This window comes from Homo sapiens, chromosome 2, assembly GCF_000001405.40.
Source record: "Homo sapiens chromosome 2, GRCh38.p14 Primary Assembly".
Lineage (NCBI taxonomy): Eukaryota > Metazoa > Chordata > Mammalia > Primates > Hominidae > Homo > Homo sapiens.
Window position 1 is genome coordinate 40,964,801 of NC_000002.12, and position 20,713 is coordinate 40,985,513.

At 33.7% G+C, this 20,713-nt stretch overlaps 1 long non-coding RNA gene across 4 annotated transcripts in view; it reads right to left on the reverse strand.

The window, feature by feature from the left end:
• Nucleotides 1-5,467, reverse strand: part of LOC105374497 (uncharacterized) — a 291,527-nt gene extending 286,060 nt beyond the window's left edge. For all 4 annotated transcript variants that reach the window (XR_001739421.3, XR_939995.2, XR_939994.2 and 1 more), the window contains exon 1: nucleotides 5,409-5,467. This is a non-coding gene — a long non-coding RNA (uncharacterized LOC105374497). The remainder of the gene's footprint in view (nucleotides 1-5,408) is intronic.
• Nucleotides 5,468-20,713: the final 15,246 nt, after the last annotated feature.

The following is a 20,713-nucleotide window of genomic DNA, read 5'->3' on the forward strand; positions in this document are numbered from 1 at the left end:
AGTTTAAAAGGACACAGATACCATGATCCTTAAACTCAGCAATCAATTGGCATGAAGACAAACACAGTGTGACTTAGGGGCTGGTGTTCTTTCGTTTGGCATCAGGAGTGGACAGTTTGGGGCTTAAGAAGAAAGATAATCTCTGAATGTATACAGTTTTACTATTATAATTTTTTTTTTTGCATTTCCAACCATTTGTTTGTCTGGCATTCTTCCAGTTGCTTGAGCCAAAATCCTTAGAATGATACATAATTCCTCTTTTTTGCTCTTCTGATTCATAAACAAATTATATTGGTTCCATTTTCGAAATATTTCTAGAATATTCACACCAGATGGTCTGCTGCCATCCTAATCTGAGCAGTCATTTTTCTCTCCATATTATTGTCAAGTCTTCTAGTCTTCTGATTTATCCCCTGCTACTACCCTTGCCACACTCCAGTTGCACCCAGCAAATACAGTAATTCATTTAAAAAGTAAGCCTGATCATGTCACTCCAATGGCTTCCCATTCCACTCCTAGGAAGGGACAAAAATCCAACACATGGCCACAAGGCCCTCCCTGCTCCAATCTTTGCTTTCTCCCAGACCTCCTCTCTGCTCACCTCCACTTGCTCACCATCCAACAGCCGCACTGGCCACCATGATGGTTTTCAAATACTAATGACATGCTCCTACTTTATAGGCTTTATTTTCTTTGTTCCCTTTCTTTGTTCTTGATGCAGTCACCTTCTTGGCTCACTCCCTCACCTCCTTCTAGCTGCTGCTGAAATCTCACCTTCACGCTGAGGCTTATACTATCAACACTATTTAGTGTTGCAAGTGGCCCATCCACTTCCTTTCCCATCCTCCCTAATCCTGATTCTCTTTACCCTGCCTACTCTTTGTTTTCTATAATACATACAACTCTCAAATATAATACATGTATTTTGCTTTTATGTATGTTGCTTATTTTCTGCCTCTTCCACCAGGGAGTTATCTCTTCTAGAGCAAAAATTCTTGTCTATTTTGTTCACTGAGGTATTCGCAGGATCTATTATACCTGGCACATAGTTGCACACTTAGTGAATAGTTGTTGAATAAATGAATGGCAAGGTTTTATCTGTGTCTATTCACTTCTGATGCTGCATAAAACACGACACATAAGAGACAAAGGGCTCTGTACAGGATGAACATAAACAGTGTCTTCATCAACTTGGACTACTGCTACAAATACCATAGATTGAGTGGCTTTAACACAAAACATGCATTTCTCATGGTTACGGAGGCTGAGAAATTCAAATTCAAGGTGCTGGCAGACTCAGTGTCTGGTGAAGGCCAACTTCCAGATCTGCAGAAGGCTACACCCTTGCTCTACCCTCACATGGGGGAGAGAGAGAGAGATCTGGTCTCTTCATCTCCATATTAGAATATCAATTTTATCCAAATCCAGATACCTCCCAAAAATATTATTTCTAAATGCCATCACATTTGGGATTAAAATATCAACATATGAATTTGGAGGGGGGAAAACAAATGTTCAGTCCACAGCAATCAGTATTCTGTCATTTTAGGCATAAAAATCTTTAAATACAAAGGAGCAAATTAATCAGCATATATTTATTGATAACTTAATGTATGTTTCACACATTTATCTACATTTCAGGTGAATACAGGAGAAACATAGAATATGGTTCTTGTCTCCAAGACATCCTCTTGGTTGCGACTGATTAACGAACAAGTCTGATTCATATTCATCAGTAGAAGAATTACAGCTCTTTATATGACATTATGACATTGTTCACAAACTTGAATATTACTAAAAATTACTGGGGGCTCTTCCCCCAGAGTATTTGATCCAGAAGGTCAAGGTTGGACCAGAGAACCTGCAGTTCCAATAAGTTTCCAGGAGATACAAATGTGGCCATACTACACTTTGAGAACCACTGCTTTATGATGGTGTTTCTCAATCCTGAAAGCACATTAAAATCATCTGACTTTTTTAGAGAAATGCAAATCAAAACCACAAATACCATCTCATGCCAGTTAGAATGGTGATCATTAAAAAGTCAGGAAACAACAGATGCTGGAGAGGATGTGGAGAAATAGGAAAGTTTTTACACTGTTGGTGGGAGTGTAAATTAGTTCAACCATTGTGGAAGACAGTGTGGTGATTCCTCAAGGATCTAGAACTAGAAATACCATTTGACCCAGCAATCCCATTACTGGGTACATACCCAAAGGATTATAAATCATTCTACTATAAAGACAGATGCATACGTATGTTTATTGCGGCACTGTTCACAATAGCAAAGACTTGGAACCAACCCACATGCCCAATAATGATAGAACGGATAAAGAAAATGTGGCACAGGTATACCATGGAATACTATGCAGCCATAAAAAAGGATGAGTTCATGTCCTTTGCAGGGATGTGGATGAAGCTGGAAACCATCATTCTCAGAAAACTAACACAAGAACAGAAAACCAAACACTGCATGTTCTCACTCATAAGTGAGAGTTGAACAATGAGAACACATGGACACAGGGAGGGGAACGTCACACACCAGGGCCTGTCAGTGGGTGGGGGTCTAGGGAAGGGATAGCATCAGGAAAAAAATACCTAATGTAGATGACGGGTTGACGAGTGCAGCAAACCACCACAGCACGTGTATACCTATGTAACTAATCTGCACATTCTGCACATGTACCTCAGAACTTAAAGTATAATAAAAAAAATCCGTGTTCCTTTGCATAGGGATAAGGAACATCTTGAGAAAAAGTAATCCAGATTTCTGCCTCACTAAAGATTCACCCTGTTAAAACCTCTGTCAAAAAGTGAAGGTTTCCAGATAAAACAAATCCCGAAGAGTCATACTAGGGTTTACATGTTCTTAGATGAGGGCTGGTTCTACATGAGCCTGATGTTTACTCCGAAAAACCTGTCTGACCCAGCCACTTTGACGGAACAGTTCTGCTTTAAGTAAAATGTTTGAGCATGTCAGCATAATCCAGAAGAACTATAATCTTGAGATGCTGATCTTCCTGATATTTGTTGGAATTATTATTCACAAATGAAATAAAAATGACATTTGCTGGAAAGGTGATTTATTTCCAAAGAGAGTATACCTGAATTTGTAGATATATGCCTTTTCCTTTTCAATCTTGTCTATTACATGTTACAGTAGTGATGGGAGCTGAGAAAAAGACAATAATGCTCAAACTTATTCTCTTAATTAAAGTCTAAAAATGATGCTGATATATAAGATCAATTAACAGATAGAATGCATTTATTCACCATAAAAAAACCTTCTCACCTAGAATAGTATTTCTATGCTCAATTGTTTTAATATGAAAACTAACTTCACATAATAATAGAATAATCATTCTTTGGTGGATGGACATTATCAAATTGACTATGTCCCACCCCATACTAACTAAATATAAGTTTATGCATTTAGTGCCTTATAATAAATATATATGTTTTAATTAAAAAAAAATATATATATATATATATATACACACAACTTCCCTTAACTCAAAAACTTCCTTAAGGGAAGTTTGCTTTTTGAGCTGGAACTTTCCTCTCTAAACATCCTGAAGAGACCCTGTTTTATTCATCTGATATTTACATTCACACTCCCAGTCTAGCATACCATTTGGAAAGCACCGATTGAATGCAGAATTAAATTCCTACCATTCATCCTATTTCTACTTACACAAAATATGTCCCTATGGTGTTTTTGTTTGTCTCATTGGAGATACATAGAACAAATGTAATAACTCTTGAACATGAAAATTCTTCACATATTTTACGGCATCTATTTTGTTCCTATATTCTTAGTGCTCTTTACTCCAGACTAAACATCTCCAATTTTTATATATTAGGGAATCAATAATCCATACCACCTTGCCATTTGGACTTAGATCAGAGGTTCTTAAGCTGAAGTCCATAAACATGTAGGAAATTGATCGATGACTTTCAAGGAATGCCTGACATTATATAGAAAATTTATGTGTATGTAATTAAGCATTTTTACTGGGTAAATATCTATAGCTTCTTATATACTACCAAATGGGAGACTATCTGTGATTTCTCAAGGATTAAGGTTTACTTCTGGAAAGGTTAAACAGTTTGTCACTGATGATCTTCAAATGTGGTCCCCAAACTCATATATAATATTGCAGTACAACCTGAGAGAGAACAAAGGAGCTAGTATATACTGGAGTGCGAAGACTTTAGTCAAGACATTTTTCTATCAATGCAAATCTAGCTTCTAGGTGCCTGTATCATTTGATATTTTGAGTTAACACTAAATTTATTTATAAATGAAATCACTAAGTCTTCCACCATCCTACACATTGACACCTACATATACATATACACATATACTTGTTATCAAACTGGTTTCCACTGATACTTTTATATCGCTTTTAGTGAGGAAAACTTTATAAAATTTTATATTTGCACCTGTCAAATTCAATCATGTTAGCCTGAGCCTATCATAGTCATCAACATTTTCCTGCATCTCTTATTTATTTATTTATTCATTTTTTGAGACAGAGTTTCTCTCTGTCACTCAGGCTGGAATGCAATGGCCCAATCTCAGCTCACTGCAACTTCCAGCTCCCTTCAAGGGATTCTCGTACCTCAGACTCCCTAGTAGCTGGGATTACAGGCATCCATTACCATGCCTGGTTTAATTTTTCTATTTTTAGTAGAGACGGGGTTTTGCCATGTTGGTCAGATTGGTCTCGAACTCCTGACCTCAAGTGATCCACCCGCCTCGGCCTCCCAATCTTGCATCTTATACCTCACATTAATTAACCTTCGGGTTTCCAGTCATTTATAAATGTAATAACCATTACTTCTCTCTCATCTTCAAAGGTGTTGGCAAAAATGTGGACAGTTCTGCACTGCTTCATAAGAGGCCTCCCTTCAGGTTTCATGAACCCATTAATCCACATTCTTTGGGGGTTTATCAGTCAGGTGCACTGGTGTGTCATACAATGGATATCTCCCCAATGTTTTATAAGACGTACCATAAAAGACTATAACACCTAAATGAAATTAGAGCTTACAGCATACATTTTCAGCAACATACAATTTGGCTGTCAACACCGAAACTAACATTAGTTTGGACAAAACTATACTTACACACTATAATCAATTAGCATACAGTTACCAACTTTTCAAAATTTTGGGTATTCCAGAATATTGACAGCTTGAGATAATCATTAAAAGGAAATCATCAATGCAAACAATACATTAATCCATAAGAACTACATGCTTAAAAGTGAGTATTGTAGAATACTCTAAAGTTTATTGTCTTTTAAAATAGAATATCTACAGAAATTAGTTTTTAAAGCAACACACCTTCTCCTCTATGACATGGAAACATGCATTTTAAGAAGAAAGAAAAATTTACCCACCTTGATACAATGAGAGCTTGCTGTGATTCTTTCAATTGCAGAATGAAGTTATTTTCTGTTAAAAAAAAAAACGCAACATATAATTCCTACATAATTATAGGGATATTGGATTATTTATAAAAAAAACCAAAGTTTTATGAATTTCTCAACAGAAACTTATTTTCCTTGTTGAATGATGCATGACTAGAATAAAAAATGATGTTGAAGAAAGAAGCACTTACAAATTGATCAAATCAAATATTTTAACTATTAAATTTAATATCACAGATAGTGAAACAATATTTATAAAACTTCAAGCGTGATAATATATAATTCATAGATGCCTTATTAATTTTAATAAGATACAGTTTGACTTTTTTTTGTGTAAACTGATGATAAATTTATCCATAAATGTCAAGGATTTTCTAGAGCTACAAATAAGAGAGTAGTTTGAATTTTAAGGGGTGGTTCAAGCAAAATAAAAGTGAATAATTCAATAAATAACAAATAGGCAAAATGGGACACATCATTCAAAATGTCCGTTTATTAAAAATAAATATGTTGCATGAAGAAAATTTCTTGCCATTTTAGAATTATAAAAGGACACAAAAAAACAAGTTTTAAAGAATAAAATAAACTTATTTTGAATACGTTTTATCTAAGTTTTCACGTTTTGTAAAACATGCCTATAATCAAATTAACTTTAATTGCTGTAGAAAAGAGAACATAAATTACTTCAAAAACGACCTTGGTCTTGCATAGTATATAATTTTATTTGCTGAGATGCAAAACATACATCAGGTGAAAGGGCTGTCATCCAGGTCCTTAACAAAAGAGAGAGTTGGAGGTACTAAGATAATAGGAAATAAACGGTGACGATCTAATTACATAGAATATGCTTCACATAGTTTTAGTCTGAGAAATCACTTGAACTGTTTGGAAAAGCCAAGGACATGTTTTTAGATCAAATAACACCCTTAGAGACATCCTTTTCAAGTCACATCCATCAATATGTGACTGCCTGCTTGCGTGTTCCCAAATGCATGTGTCCTGCCACCTGAAGAATGGCTAAAATATCTCCATTACCAGAGAGTCCCTTCTCTCTTCCTATTCTTTTGTCCACAGCTGTCAGAGGTGATGTATGTATATCTGTTGTTGAATCCTGCTATTACGTTAAGGGTGGAAAAGAGTGGTTCTCTGTAGGTTTTGATATCTGAGGTCATTGGTTTAATTTATTCATCATTGGATGTGAAGAAAAAAGTCATTGAAATGTGAAGAAAAAATGTGAAGAAAAAAGAGGTAATATATTCTACTGCATAAAAGTTGGGAATCTTCTGCTTTTGGTCTCACCACTGTTTTTTGTCCTTTGGAGATCAGAGGTGGCAAAAGAGACTGGAGGACATGCTTGAATAACCTGTGTAGTGGGAATGAGAGGTTTGCACCGCCCCTTACCATTAGCATGCTTATATAAGTAATTTGTGGTGGACCTAAACAATAGCACGCTACTTAGAAATAAATAATGAACTACTGTTACACTCAATAGCATGGATAAATAAGATGTGATATTTATAACAGATATAAAGACAAGAAAAAGAAGACGGGTACACAAAAATACATACTGTATAATTTTGTATATATGAGGTTCAAGAAATGGCAGAATGACTGTAATAGGTAAGAGAGAATCAGGGTTACCATGGGTGAGGAGGATATTCGCTGAGATGGGCAAGAGAGAACATTTTGCAATGTCTTATATCTTAATTTTGTGGTTATCAGCGTGCGTATACATATAGAAGCTCCTTAAGCTGCACTTTACTATATCATACTTTAATAAAACAGTTTCCTAAAAGAAATATTAAAATGTTGTAGTACTGTTAAATTTAATATTGTTAAATTTAGTATTGTTATATTGTTATATTTAAAATGTTATATAAATGTAGGTAGATACAAATCTGCTATTTTACAACTGCTTGTGGATGTATATACCTGTCTAAAGCAGGAGTGTCCAATCTTTTGGCTTCCCTGGGCCACGCTGGAAGAAAAATTATCTTGGATCACACATAAAATACACTAACACTAATGATAGCTGATGAGCTAAAAAAAAAAAAAAAAGAGAGAAAAAAGAAAAAAGAAAAAAAAGAAAAACAGGCAAAAAATTTTCATAATGTTTTAAGAAAGTTTATGAATTTGTTGAGCCACATTCAAAGCTGTCCAGGGCCTCATGCAGCCCATGGACCATGGGTTGGACAAGCTTGGTGTAAAGGTTCCTGGTTTTGTTTAAGCTTCTCTTGTTACCTACCTACTTAGTTAAACTACTACCTGAAATGTTTTATATCTTATTTCTGGTTTCTCATTCATGTCCTGAATATTGTCTGTCTCTTATTTTTCACTTTACTTTTAACTTAAGCTCCCTTTTTTATATTTTGTTACCTAACTTAAATATCTTTCTTGACATTTCTTAATTTTTGCATTTAACCGAAACTCCACGTCAGTTCAGTTCTAAAAAATGTTATGGAGATTCTGGTTAAGATTCCAGAAACAGAATTTTAAAATTCTTTCAAAGCCCTCTATTTAAAAACTGGATTAATTTCTATATGCTACAAAAGCCTGTTATGTGGCCTTTGGGTTTCTAGAAACCAGTATTTTAATGATTGGGAAACCCACGACTAATAATTAAGAAACAGTCTATAGCATATCTTATAACCTTAAGAAGAAAATTAATAAAACATTTTTATAAAAGTATAATTTTTAAGAATCTTGGCATTTTAAAATTTATTTTATAGTAAACAATTTTCCTGGCTAGGTGTGTAATTTCTTCATACATGTGAGATGCAGATAATGAGCAAGAAAGCAAGGGGAGTGGAATTTCTGCTGAAGAACCCTATAATGTACAGTACATTTCTCCCTCCCCTTCAATCACTTTCAGCTTTCACAGAGGGAGAAAAAATATATAGAAGGAAGACAAGATCCAACCATATGCTGACATTGTTGAAAGACTGTGCTGACATTTTGGTAAGAAAAGTAAGACTTCACCTCTCAGTTTTATCTTCCCAGAAGGAGAAATCATTTTTCTTTCCTTATGAAATTTATGTTTCCAAGAAGCTATAGTGTTACTTGAAATTTAAAAAAAAATCAAATCAAGCTATAATTTTCATATGCCATAATGCATATGTATATTTTTTGTGATGCCAATCTACCCCAAATGACACAGAATTACTGTGTGAGATGTATGTCATGTTCATGTCAAAATGGAACCTCTGCCTGGAGAAGTACATACTACCTTTCTAAAAATAATTACCTAAGAAGCAGACTTCTTCTCATGTTTAAAATCTCATGGTATATGTTCATTCAACCTTCAAATTTCTTGTTTATAAAATCTCTGATGCCATAGGGGAAGTGGGAAATTGGAAAGATATTTTTCTTCTGTTATTTTGAGTATACACTGCTCATCCCCATCACAAAGAAGCAAAGGGAATTTCGTGTATTTGTGATAATGAAAGAGGTCCTATACTAGTGCTCAAAACGTAAGGCTAGAAAAAATTTTCATTTTAATGATAATAATAGAGATTATTTTTCTTCACAATTACAACATTTTAAAATATATACAGAGTATCCACTGTGTACTAACTTTTAGGTCAGAATGATCATATAACTTTGACTATGATAAGTACAATCTTGGGATGTAATAATATGGAATATTCATTTCCCACAATCACGGAAACAAAAATTTTAGGGTGATGCCCAACTATTCTAGTATTGGAAGGTCAAAAAGTACATGATACTTGCAAAATGTATAAACATCCAAGAACTAAGATTGGTGAACCTAGAGTTTTATATGAATTGTTATGATCACTTTTGATGGGTGTCTCATTTACTGGTTATATTGCACAATTTATTAATGCACTGTGTATTCTGAACCATACTTTCCCATTACAATATTTAGCCTGAAAATATTCCAGCATAGGTGAAATGGATTTTTCTATTAAGTACTGGAACCCTTTAAAACGAAAAATAGCTTAAGTAGAATTAATTGCATTCACAATATCTAGATATTTATATTCCTGTTGAGAATAATATATTACCTAGATATTTAGATTCTCTTAAGTTTTATTTTTCTGGATATCCATTTACTAATCTTTTTAACAAGATTTGCACCTGAGGGAAGATTTTGAAAACACAGAAACATTCCATCAGTTTTAGTGGAGCAACTCTCTATCAACATCTTCTGATTAAAAACCTGTATATTTAAACAAAGGTAGAAATAGATGGTAAAAGCTATTAGTGCTGCTTTTTTCCCCTCTACCACTAACACAAGGTCTTTAGGTTTAGCTTGAAGAGGGATATAAAGATTTAAATGGGATTAAGCAAACCTCTCATTCTGAATAAATTGAAGTGGGCATTGACTTTTTAATTTAATTTAAATTTTGAAATCTCAGTCACCATATCAACATCAGGAAAGAGCTGTCTCTCTAATCATGTCACTTTGGATAACTTCTAAAACCAAAAGGATATTAAAATAAGTGTTGTGTTTCTAAAAACATTTGTCTTCAAACATTAAAGTTTAAAAACCTCAAAATATAATACTGCTTTCTTCTTAAATTTTAACTGCATCTTTTGTGAGAGTATTTTTTCTCACTCCTATTTATTAAAAACAGACTGATTTTACTGTGGCAGTTAAATTAGCTTGTTTTGTTATTATTAATAATTATTATTATTTTTGACTACTCTAACCACTTCGCCTTAAAAACTGGTTCTCTGGAAAAATGCTTTTCATCTCCCAAATACCTAACTTACAAATAAATTTGTGCCTCAAATTCTGGTTTTAAATCGGGAGCAAATTGTATTACAAATGCCTGTCTTTTAGCGGCCTGCTGGTGTCATTATTAACAGTAATAACAAGTTCTGAGCACCAATTTCCATTGCTATTAGGCTTAATTATAGATGTTGGATGGAACCATAGAGATAATCCATTCTAATAGTTGCAAGCACTTAAAAACGGACCTCTAGGTCCATTTTTTTCTCTTAAAAACAACAGCAACAATAACACTAAACCCAGTATATAAATAAATAATTACAGTATTTTCCTGCTGAATGAGCACGGGAGATGGGGAGACAGACACCTGATCAGTCCAGTCCCTAGGGGTCTCTGATGCATATACAGGGAAGCTTTGATATGAAAATGTCACACGTAGTCAATCTGCTTCATTGAAAGATATGAGACAGATTCTAAGAGGGAAAATAACTTGCAGAAGTCAACACACAAGTCAATGAAAATAAAAATGAGTCTGGTGTCCTGAATCATTACGCTATCTTGCCCTGAATAGTATTGGCTTCTACACAATTTAAACTGTTAAGTCATGAATGAAGCTTGGACATTAGCCCATTATCTGTTCTTTTCCTCCAAAATCATTAAAAATGAATCTTAGGTAGATTTCAGTGTGTAAAAATAACTGGCTACTCCAAAGATGTCATTGAATATTTCCAGTTTAAGTTTTAAATAGTTTTGATTAGCTTCCCATTAAAAAAATTGTTCTTCACTGAGCCTATCATTATAAGGTGTTGCTTTTGTAAACTTTATCTTCTAAAACAAAGGAATGCCATCCTTGTGTGGCTATATAGCAGAAGTATTCCAAGATTTCAAGGCTTAGTGTTCAGTTGGTTGTTGGGTAGGGGCAAAAAGGTAGCAGAAGCTGGCATAGCATATATTATTACGTATTTTTTTCAATTAAAGTTTCAGCTTTCTCTAATGGGCATTCTTTTTTATATATAATTTCTACTTTTATTTTAGTTACAAGGGTGCATGTGCAGGTTTGTTACCTGGGTATATTACATGATGCTGAAGTTTGGGATATGGATCCTATCACTCAGGTAGTGAGCATAGTACCCGATAGGTAATTTGTCACCCCACACCCCTCTTATTCTCTCCCCACTCTAGTAGTCTGCAGTCTCTATTGTTCCCATCTTTATGCCCATGTGTACTCAATATTTACCTCCCACATATAAGTGAAAACATGCTATATTTGGTTTTCTGTTTCTACATTAATTAGCTTAGGATTATGACCTCCAGCTGTATCCATGTTGGAAAAGACAAGATTTCGTTCCTTTTCATGGCTGCGTAGTATGCTATAGTGTAAATGTACAACATTTTTATCATACAAGAGGCCAACAAACATACATCATTATTAATCATCAGAGAAATACAAATCAAAACCACAATAAGATACCATCTCACACAAGTCAGAATGGGCTTTCTTGTTGGTGTTATTTTTCCCATTTTTTTAAGATTGGAAGAATCCCACCTGGCTGGCTTGCTTCCACTGGAGGCATGAGCAACATCTTTTAGGTTTATTGGAATAAAAAGGTATGAAAAATCATCAGGACATTCCTTTATACTGGTGTAGCAGTGGCTATCACAAATTGACTAACCTGGCATTTTTCTCAATCTTCATTTTTCTCAGTGCCCTACTTGCTAAGGAGAGCAAGTTTGCTTTTAACATAACCAACAAAAAAAAAAACACAGAATTTTTAAAAAATTTAGTTTAAAAAAATGTATATTGATGCTGCCAGCTCTTCAAAAACCATGCCATACATATCGGTAATACCCATTTGTGAAATGCTTATATTCTAATGCATTTGACAAGTTGCTATTTACAAACAGAAATGAGTTCTTCAGTTTCTGAATTCATAGATATTTATCAAGCAAGCAAATAAACCTTGTTTAATTTAAAATATCGTTAGAATATTATATATTTATAATAAAAAACTGGAGGGAATATTATGACTTCAAAAGAATAATAATCTGAATTGCATTTTAATGTCATGCTATTTTTGACAGAAACATTATTACCAGATGTAGAGTTAAAACGAAATTATCAGTGTTTTCAAAGTGATATTGGGAGATAGTTCTCAAACTGTAATAATTTTTAAAAATTCATTTTAAAGGAAAAATGACTTATAGCTATTTTCATTATAATTTCTATGCATATAAACTATGTATATGACATTATAACTACAGCTATTACACACTTTCAAGAAAGACTACAAAACCAAAAGTAAAATTAAATTAAAACTTTAAAACTGTTTTTGCCCTCACTGTATGAACATTGCAAGGACTTTTGAGTTGAGATGTAAACAACATACCTGCTTTGCAGAACTTTAATGACTTTGATGACTTTTCTTTTCTCTGAGCTTTCAAATCTTTGCTTGACAGAGATTTATATTCACTTAATAGAAATCCATAATGTATATATAAAAACATCCACTTCTTAATTTTTGAGCATATAACAATGATTACAATATCATGGCAGTACTATGTAGCAGCAAAAGTGTACACACAAATGAACACATGTTCCCACAGCTCATGGGCATTCCATATTGAAAAAGATGTCATTCATGAATAATGCTTACATTAGCCTTTTTTAGGTTTTCTTTGTGATTGTAAACACAGAAGTGAAAGATTATTGTGGAAAAGCTATAAAATCCAAAGAATACGTTTTGTCTCCTCTGGGGCTTGACATAATCTAGTCTGATCTTGTTCAAATCTTGAACTGTATGACTTTTTCATGACTTTACTATCATATAATTTACACCCAAAAAACTGCACTCATTTATAAACACTTTGATGAGTTTTGATGATGTATATACCTGAGAAACCACCATCGCAATTACAATACAAAACATTTCTATCAACTGTAAATGTTTCCTCATGTCCCTTCGTGGTCAATCCCTCCCTCACACCATGTTCTAGACACCTGTTGATCTGCTTTCTATGACTATTGATCAGTTTGCACTTTCTAGAGTTTCATATAAGTAGAATCATTCCATGTGTCCCATTTTGTATCTGACTTCTTTCACTAAGAATAATCATTTTGAGATGTTGTGTATTGTTCCTTTCTTTTTGCTGCATGGTTTGAATCCCTATGATTTTATCTCTGTTGTACATCTAAAAACACTAGAGCTTGAGACTCTAATTTGAGATTATTTGAGAAACTCTACCTTTGATGGATGATTCATTGGCAGATGACCTGAAGACACATGATTCGCAGGTTGTTAAAAATGACCATTAATTGCTGAGTTTACAGAGAGAAGTACACGAAAATCTTTCATTTTAATGTTGTTAAGTCATCAGATGGCATGGGGGACTTTTTCCTCCATCAATTCTGTCCTTAAAGAAGCACTTTCCTTTTGACATAGTTTTTTACTCAGGATTCATACTAGGATCAGAATGGTGAAGAGTTTTCTTCTCAGTTGAATGAAAAAAATCTCTCATCAGAAATATTTTCTTTTTATTATTGATCAGTTGAGGTCTACAATGGTGAAATTACTCTTAGATGAAGATACACACATCTATTTCAAATGAGAGGTTAAAATTGCAACCTCATTACATATATGTATGTATATATACATATGTGTATATATGTATATGCATGCCTATATGTGTATATATGTATGTATATATGTATATATGTTTTTATACATGTATACATATATACACACAGAGACATATATATGTGTAATTTTGTATGGCTTTTCAGGACTGCAAAAAGACTAAAACTTGAAACTGTATAAAGTCACCTTAATAGTAGATAAGAGAAATTATGATTTTTCCATCATATTTAAAACTTTTGTCAAAATATTCAACGTTTTCTTATTGTCAGTCATATATGTATAGGAGAATGCAAAAACAGTGAAACTAATATTACTTATTGCATGGTGTCTTATTCTTTTTGTGCTGCTATAACAACATACGACAGATTGGGTAATTCATATAAAATATAAATTTATTTCTCACAGTTCTGGAGGCTTGGAAGTTCAAGATCAAGACACCAGCAAATTTGTGTCTGGTGAAGACGGTTTTCCTGCTTTCATGATGGCACCATGTTACTGTGTCCTCAACACAGCAGAAGGCAGAAGGGTAAAAAGGGCCGAATGTTGTCAGATGCCTATTTACAAGGGCCTAAATCTCAATCATGAGGGAAGAGCCTGCATGAATAAATTACCTCCTAAAGGATCTATCTCTTAATAATATTGCATTGCGAATTAAGTTTCAACATGAATTTTGGAAAGAACACAAAATTCAAACCATAGCACATCAGTTTACAATATTCAAACCATTGAGAATTGATGTATTTTATCTCTTAGTAAAAAACTAATTAAGGGTAATTTGAACAGTGCTTGCTTTGTGCATTAACTAACAATATGAAGCAAGTATTTTTTCAATGCCTTAGTGAATTGTCATACTTCTCTGTAAATTTAGATCAGCTTCTAACATTTTAGTCTTTGTTCTTTCTATGCTGTAAAATACCTTTGGGAGTTTCTTTAATGTGGGATGTTTCATTGACATCATTTGCTCCGGAACATCTTCATTACTTTTTTTTTTTTTTGTCACAACCACTTTCCTCATTTATTTCAGTAAGTTTGCAGGTATTAAGTTCCACTGCTTGTATATTTGCAGTCTTTGAAATAACCCCTGTCAACATTTCTATAGTCACTTACTTCTTCAGACATCCATTTATATTTGTTTTGAATTTTACTTCTAGCATTATCATTTTTAGTTTCTTTGTTGAACTTTTATCTTTATTGTCCAATTCCCTCATTCCAAAGATCAAGTTATGTAAAATGGCATGTGGTTTAATCACTGGGAAATAGGGAGGTAACACCTCTACATGTTTGCTGTCAGAATAGGAACTAAATAGCAGATGGGCAGTGACCACTTACGGACAGATCTAAAATAAGTGACACTACCGTTCATTCATTTATCATGATAGGAATCTGTTATTTATGCAGTGATTTGTAGAATAAAGAGCTAATAGTAATTTTTTTTTACTTTATACAATTACTGACAGTTAATAAATTGTGGTAATTGAAGTCTGAACTGTATTTATGGGGACTGGTATTCTCTAAATCATGATATCTGAATTTCATGAATGTTGAAACTGTGCAAAAACAAGCACTGCCTCTACGTATGTGTTAAATTTTGCCTATAGTTAGGTAACAACCAAAATTAGGACTTAAGAATCTCTCCACATTTGATAAACGATTTAGTACTGGCCAGTTACTTCATTTAAAATACATACCTACTGGATACCATGCTAAATGTTTATCAGATTGAGTTAGTTTTCATTTTTCTACTTTAAGATTAGGTATGTAGTCTTCAACATGCTTTTGGTATTATATATGGTATTTGAGATAATACGAAATTGAGATTGTCCAACATGTATTTAAGTAAAAACTCCTCAAACTCAAATTTAATAAATTAAACCATAAAATGATATGCAGAATAAACCACTTACTTTGCAGTTAATTTTATTCACAGCTAGGCCATTAACTATTTTTGAAGTCCATTTTGGTGTTCCTCCACCTTTGAATAGTGATGGAAATATTTTAATACCTTAGATTCCATGAAATCAGTAAAGAGGTGAGTCCTGGAACTGATCAACAAACAACTACATTTGCCTTGTTAAAAATATACTTATGTTTGTTCAATTTTTAGTTCAATGTAAGGCTATTGTCTCTCTTTACTTTTGTAAAAAAGGTGAATGTAAAATCTATATGTTCTATGAACTGTAAAGTGAAAAAATCTTATCAGCAGTTTTCACTCATTCATAGATTTTTTTAAATTGCTGAATAAAACAGCTTTCTAAAACATGTCCTTTTTCGTTATTATTATGCCAAATGGAAAATGAGATTAATTAATTTCATGCCAGAATTATTAATTCAGCAATAATAGCAATTGAGTTAGTAAATACTCAAAACTTTCATCTTGAATGGCAGAAACCTATAAATTCTCCACAAATAAAACCTAAAAGCCTTTTTTTTCAGCGTCCAGTTTAAGAAGAAGCATAAGTTTTCTCTCTTTCATTCCCTTTTTCTTTCTTTCTTTCTTTTTTAATCTAAAGGTGATAAATGAATAAAGCAGAAAGCCTCAGGGCAAAACAGGAAAGTACATTTCTGAATGAATGTTCAAATAAAACTTTTTACTTTTAATTGAAAATCTAAGTCTGTCTGGATGACTCTGTTTTCCAGGTAGGTTTATACAACTTTATGATGATCATGTACGTGGTAGTACTCCAGAGAAGGAGAATTGAGGATTTACCAATAACCAGGAGAAGTCTCTCATTCTGAAATCAAGGAATTATATATTTTACCCTCTTAGTCAGTAATAATCCACAATGAAACATTTTGAATGAAAATTCTACTTCCAGCCAGGCACAATTGCTTACGCCTGTAATCCCAGCACTTTGGGAGGCTGAGGCAGGAGAATTACCTGAGCCCAGGAGTTTGAGATCAGCCCTGGCAACATAGTCTGACCCCCTACTGTAAAAAAATTACAAAATCAGCTGGGTGTGGTGGTGCACGCCCGTAGTCCCTAGCTGCTATGGAGGCTGAGGTTGAGCCTTGGAAGTTGAAGCTGCGGTGAATTGTGATCATGGCACTGCACTCCAGCCTGGGCAACAAAAACTCTGCCTGCCCCCAGTTAAAACAGAAAAGAAAATTCTACTGCATTGAAAGGCAACAAATGTTACACTCCAATTTTTAAAATTAGAATTTGTTGTAAGTTCACTGCATATTACAGTTCAAAATTATTTATAGCATTGGCTTTCAATTCTTTACATGTAGTTCACTTCCTGGTATTTGAATTCTATTAAACAGGATATAATTTTTTTTTCAAGTAATAGAATGCTTTTCTGGCTATGAGGAACAGTACACCTCTCACTAATTTTTTTTTAAATTGAAACTACATAAAAAATAAAAGATATGACCTCTCAATAATATCGAGATGTAATGCTTAAATTTAAGCATATTTAAAAACATATTCCAACCATTTCTACTTTTAATAGGTACCATTCAGCTTCACAGGAGATCACTGTAGAAAGTACATAGTTTATTAAATTTTTAGTCATAACAATCTTTAATTAAAAATAATAAATAAATTGATCAGAAGGTTGTCCCTAATAAGCAAAGTCCTCATTCTTGCAAAGCCTTTTGATTTATATTCTGTTTTCAAATGCTGCAGACAGATTTTGGCACCTATTCATTTTAACCTGCAGCTATTAGATTGGTGCAAAAGTAATTGTGGTTTTTGTCATCAAAAGTAAAATATATTTAACCATTAAAGATGTGCCTTGACTTCAGTCTAGTATTAATAATTTTTAAAGTCTTCACTAGAAATTCAGAAGTTTCCTCAACCTGCTCTCAAGGCATGCTTTGTGTTTCTACAGTAACAAAGTTTGACACTTTCTTCGGCATGGGAGACACTGTAAAATGGGTAAAACTTTTATCTTTCAAACATTGAGTTGGATGAGGTAATAGAGTACAGTCATTAAGTATGTGAACTCTGCAACCCAAATACATGGATCTAAATTCCAGCTCCACCATTTGGTATCTGTGAGATCATGGATAGTTATCTACCCTGTCAACGCTTTGGTCTATTCATCTGTAAAATATAAATAATACAAGTATCCACCACATGTAATTTTTAAAAGGTGATAAGAAAGTGTTCCACACACATGTTCAATATATGCTAGCTATTATTCTTGTGAAACATTTTTCATCTGTGTTTCATTTTAAATCTTTTAGAGAATCCATAGTTTTGGGTTTCTTCATCCTTGACCAATATCGCTCATAAAACAAATACTTGATAACAAATGTGGCTACACTCAGGATTCTAGACCTTACCTATGAAAATGAATACGGTTGGAAAGAACTTTAGTGTTCTATAAGGTACAATATACTATATTTACACAACCTATATGTGACAATTCTTCTAAAAATAGTAGAAGTTATAAAAAATATCTTTACAGTCTCTACAACATGGAGTCTCAGGAAAGAGTGCTCTTATTTCAGATAGTCACTTCGTGTTAAAAATTCTAAGTTCCCTGCTTGTAAGAACATAAAATGAACTGTTTTAATAAAAAATATTGTGGCCAGGCACAGTGGCTCACACCCATAATCCCAACACTTTGGGAGGCTGGAGGCAGGCGGATCACAAGATCGGGAGTTTGAGACCAGCCTGGCCAATATGGTGAAACCCCGTCTCTAATAAAAATACAAAAAAATTAGCCAAGCGTGGTGGCACGCGCCTGTAGCCCCAGCTACTTGGGAGGCTGAGGCAGGAGAATTGCTTGAACCCAGGAAGCGGAGGTTGCAGTGAGCAGAAATCATGCCAATGCACTCCAGCCTGGGGGACAGAGTAAGACCCCACCTCAAAAAAAAAAAAAAAAAAAAAAAAGAGAGAGAGAGAGAGAGAAACAGGAAGATCACCATTTCTCCCTTATATAGAAAGCAGTTCTCTCAAGTAGAATTCTAAAAGGTAATGTGTTGAATGAGTGACCAAAAAGAAAAAAAAAATCAGAATGAGGCACAATCACTTGAAGTAACAATCAGTTTTTCCTTTCCATAAATCTCGGCTGTGAAGGCATGTATCATAGTTTTCCATTCCATTATGTTGAGCATATAAAAACTGACCCTTATTCTTCTCAAATTTATATTGGCTGAATGAGGGCACCTGCCAGCTAAAGATAAAACAATGCATGATTTAAAGATAAAATGCAATTATTTAAAGGTAACACAGAGCATTTTAAACGTAGACAAAATGTTATTTTGACTACACTTTTTATTTTTTTAATTTAATTTTATTTATTTATTATTATTATTTTTTGAGATGGAGTCTTGCTTTCTCACCCAGGCTTGAGGGCAGTGGCGCAATCTTGGCTCACTGCAAGCTCTGCCTCCTGGGTTCACACCATTTTCCTGCCTCAGCCTCCTGAGTAGCTGGGACTACAGGCATCCGCCATCATGCCCGGCTAATTTTTTTTTTTTTTTTATTTTTAGTAGAGACCAGGTTTCACCGTGTTAGCCAGGATGGTCTTGATCTCCTGACCTCGTGCTGGGATTATAGGTGTGAGCCACCACACCCGGCCTTGATTTCTTCTTTGACCTATAGATTGTTCAAGAGTGTGCTGTTTAATTTCCACATATTTTTAAATTTTCTAATTTTCCTTCAGCTACTCATTTGTAGTTTTATGCCATTATGGTCAGAAACAATGCTTGATATAATCAGTCTTCTTAAACTTGTTAAAATCTTTTTTTGGCCAAACATATCATCTTTCTTGAAGAATGTTTTGTATACACTTGAGAAGAATGTGTATTATGCTACTATTGAATGGCATGTTCTATACACGTCTGTTAGGTCCATTTGTTCTAAAGTGTAATCCAAAGTCAGGCACAGTGACATGCATCTGTGGTCCCAGCTACTTGGGGGCTGAAGTGGGAGGATCACTTGGGCCCAGAAGTTTGAGTCCAGCCTGGGCAATATAGTGTGACCCCCTTCTTTAAAAATAAATAAATAAATACAAATTTTAAAAAGGTTAAGTCCAGTCTGATGTGTTCTTATTGATTTTCTGATTGAATATTCTGTCTAGTGCTGAAAGAGGGGTATTGAATTCTCGTATTATTATTGTATTACAGTCTATCTCTCCCTTCAGATCTGTTACCATTTGTTTTATATATCTAAGTGCTCTGATGTTGAGTCCATATATATTTACAACTCTTATATCCTCTTGATGAATTGACCCTTTATCATTATATAATGCCCCTCTTTGTTTCTTGTTTCAGATTTTAACTGAAAGTCTATTTTGTCTCATATAAGTAGTGCTACCCTTGCTCTCTTTTGATTGACATTTGCATAGATTTTTTTCCTAAAACCTTTACTTTAAGTCTATATATGTCTTTAAAGCTGATATTGGGCTCTTGTAGACAGCATACAGTTTGGTCTTGTTTTTTATTTACTCCATTCAGCCACTTTACATCTTTTCATTGAAGAATTCAATTCATTTACATTTAAAGTAATTGTTGATAGGTAAGAACTTCCTATTGCCAGTTTGTGAAATATTTTGGGGCTGTTTATAGATTCTTTGTTCTCTTTTTTCTCTCTTGCTGTCTTCCTTTGTGATTTGATGATTTTCTGTAGTGATATGTTTTGATTCCTTTCTCTGTATCTTTTGCATATCTAATATAGATTTTTGTTTTGTGGTTACCATGAGGCTTGCAAATAAAAATTTTGACAGTCTATTTTAAGCCAACAACAACTTAACTTTGATAGCATATAAAAACTCTATACTTTTATTCCATGCCCCCCACATTTTGTTTTTATGTCATGATTTATACCTTTTTATTTTATGTATCTATTATCAAATTATTTTAGTTATTTTTAATACTTTCATCTTTTAACCTATATACTAGAGTTATAAGTGATTTACACACAATCATTGAAGTATTAAAATATTCTGAATTTGACTACATACTTTTATCAGTGAGTTTTATACTTT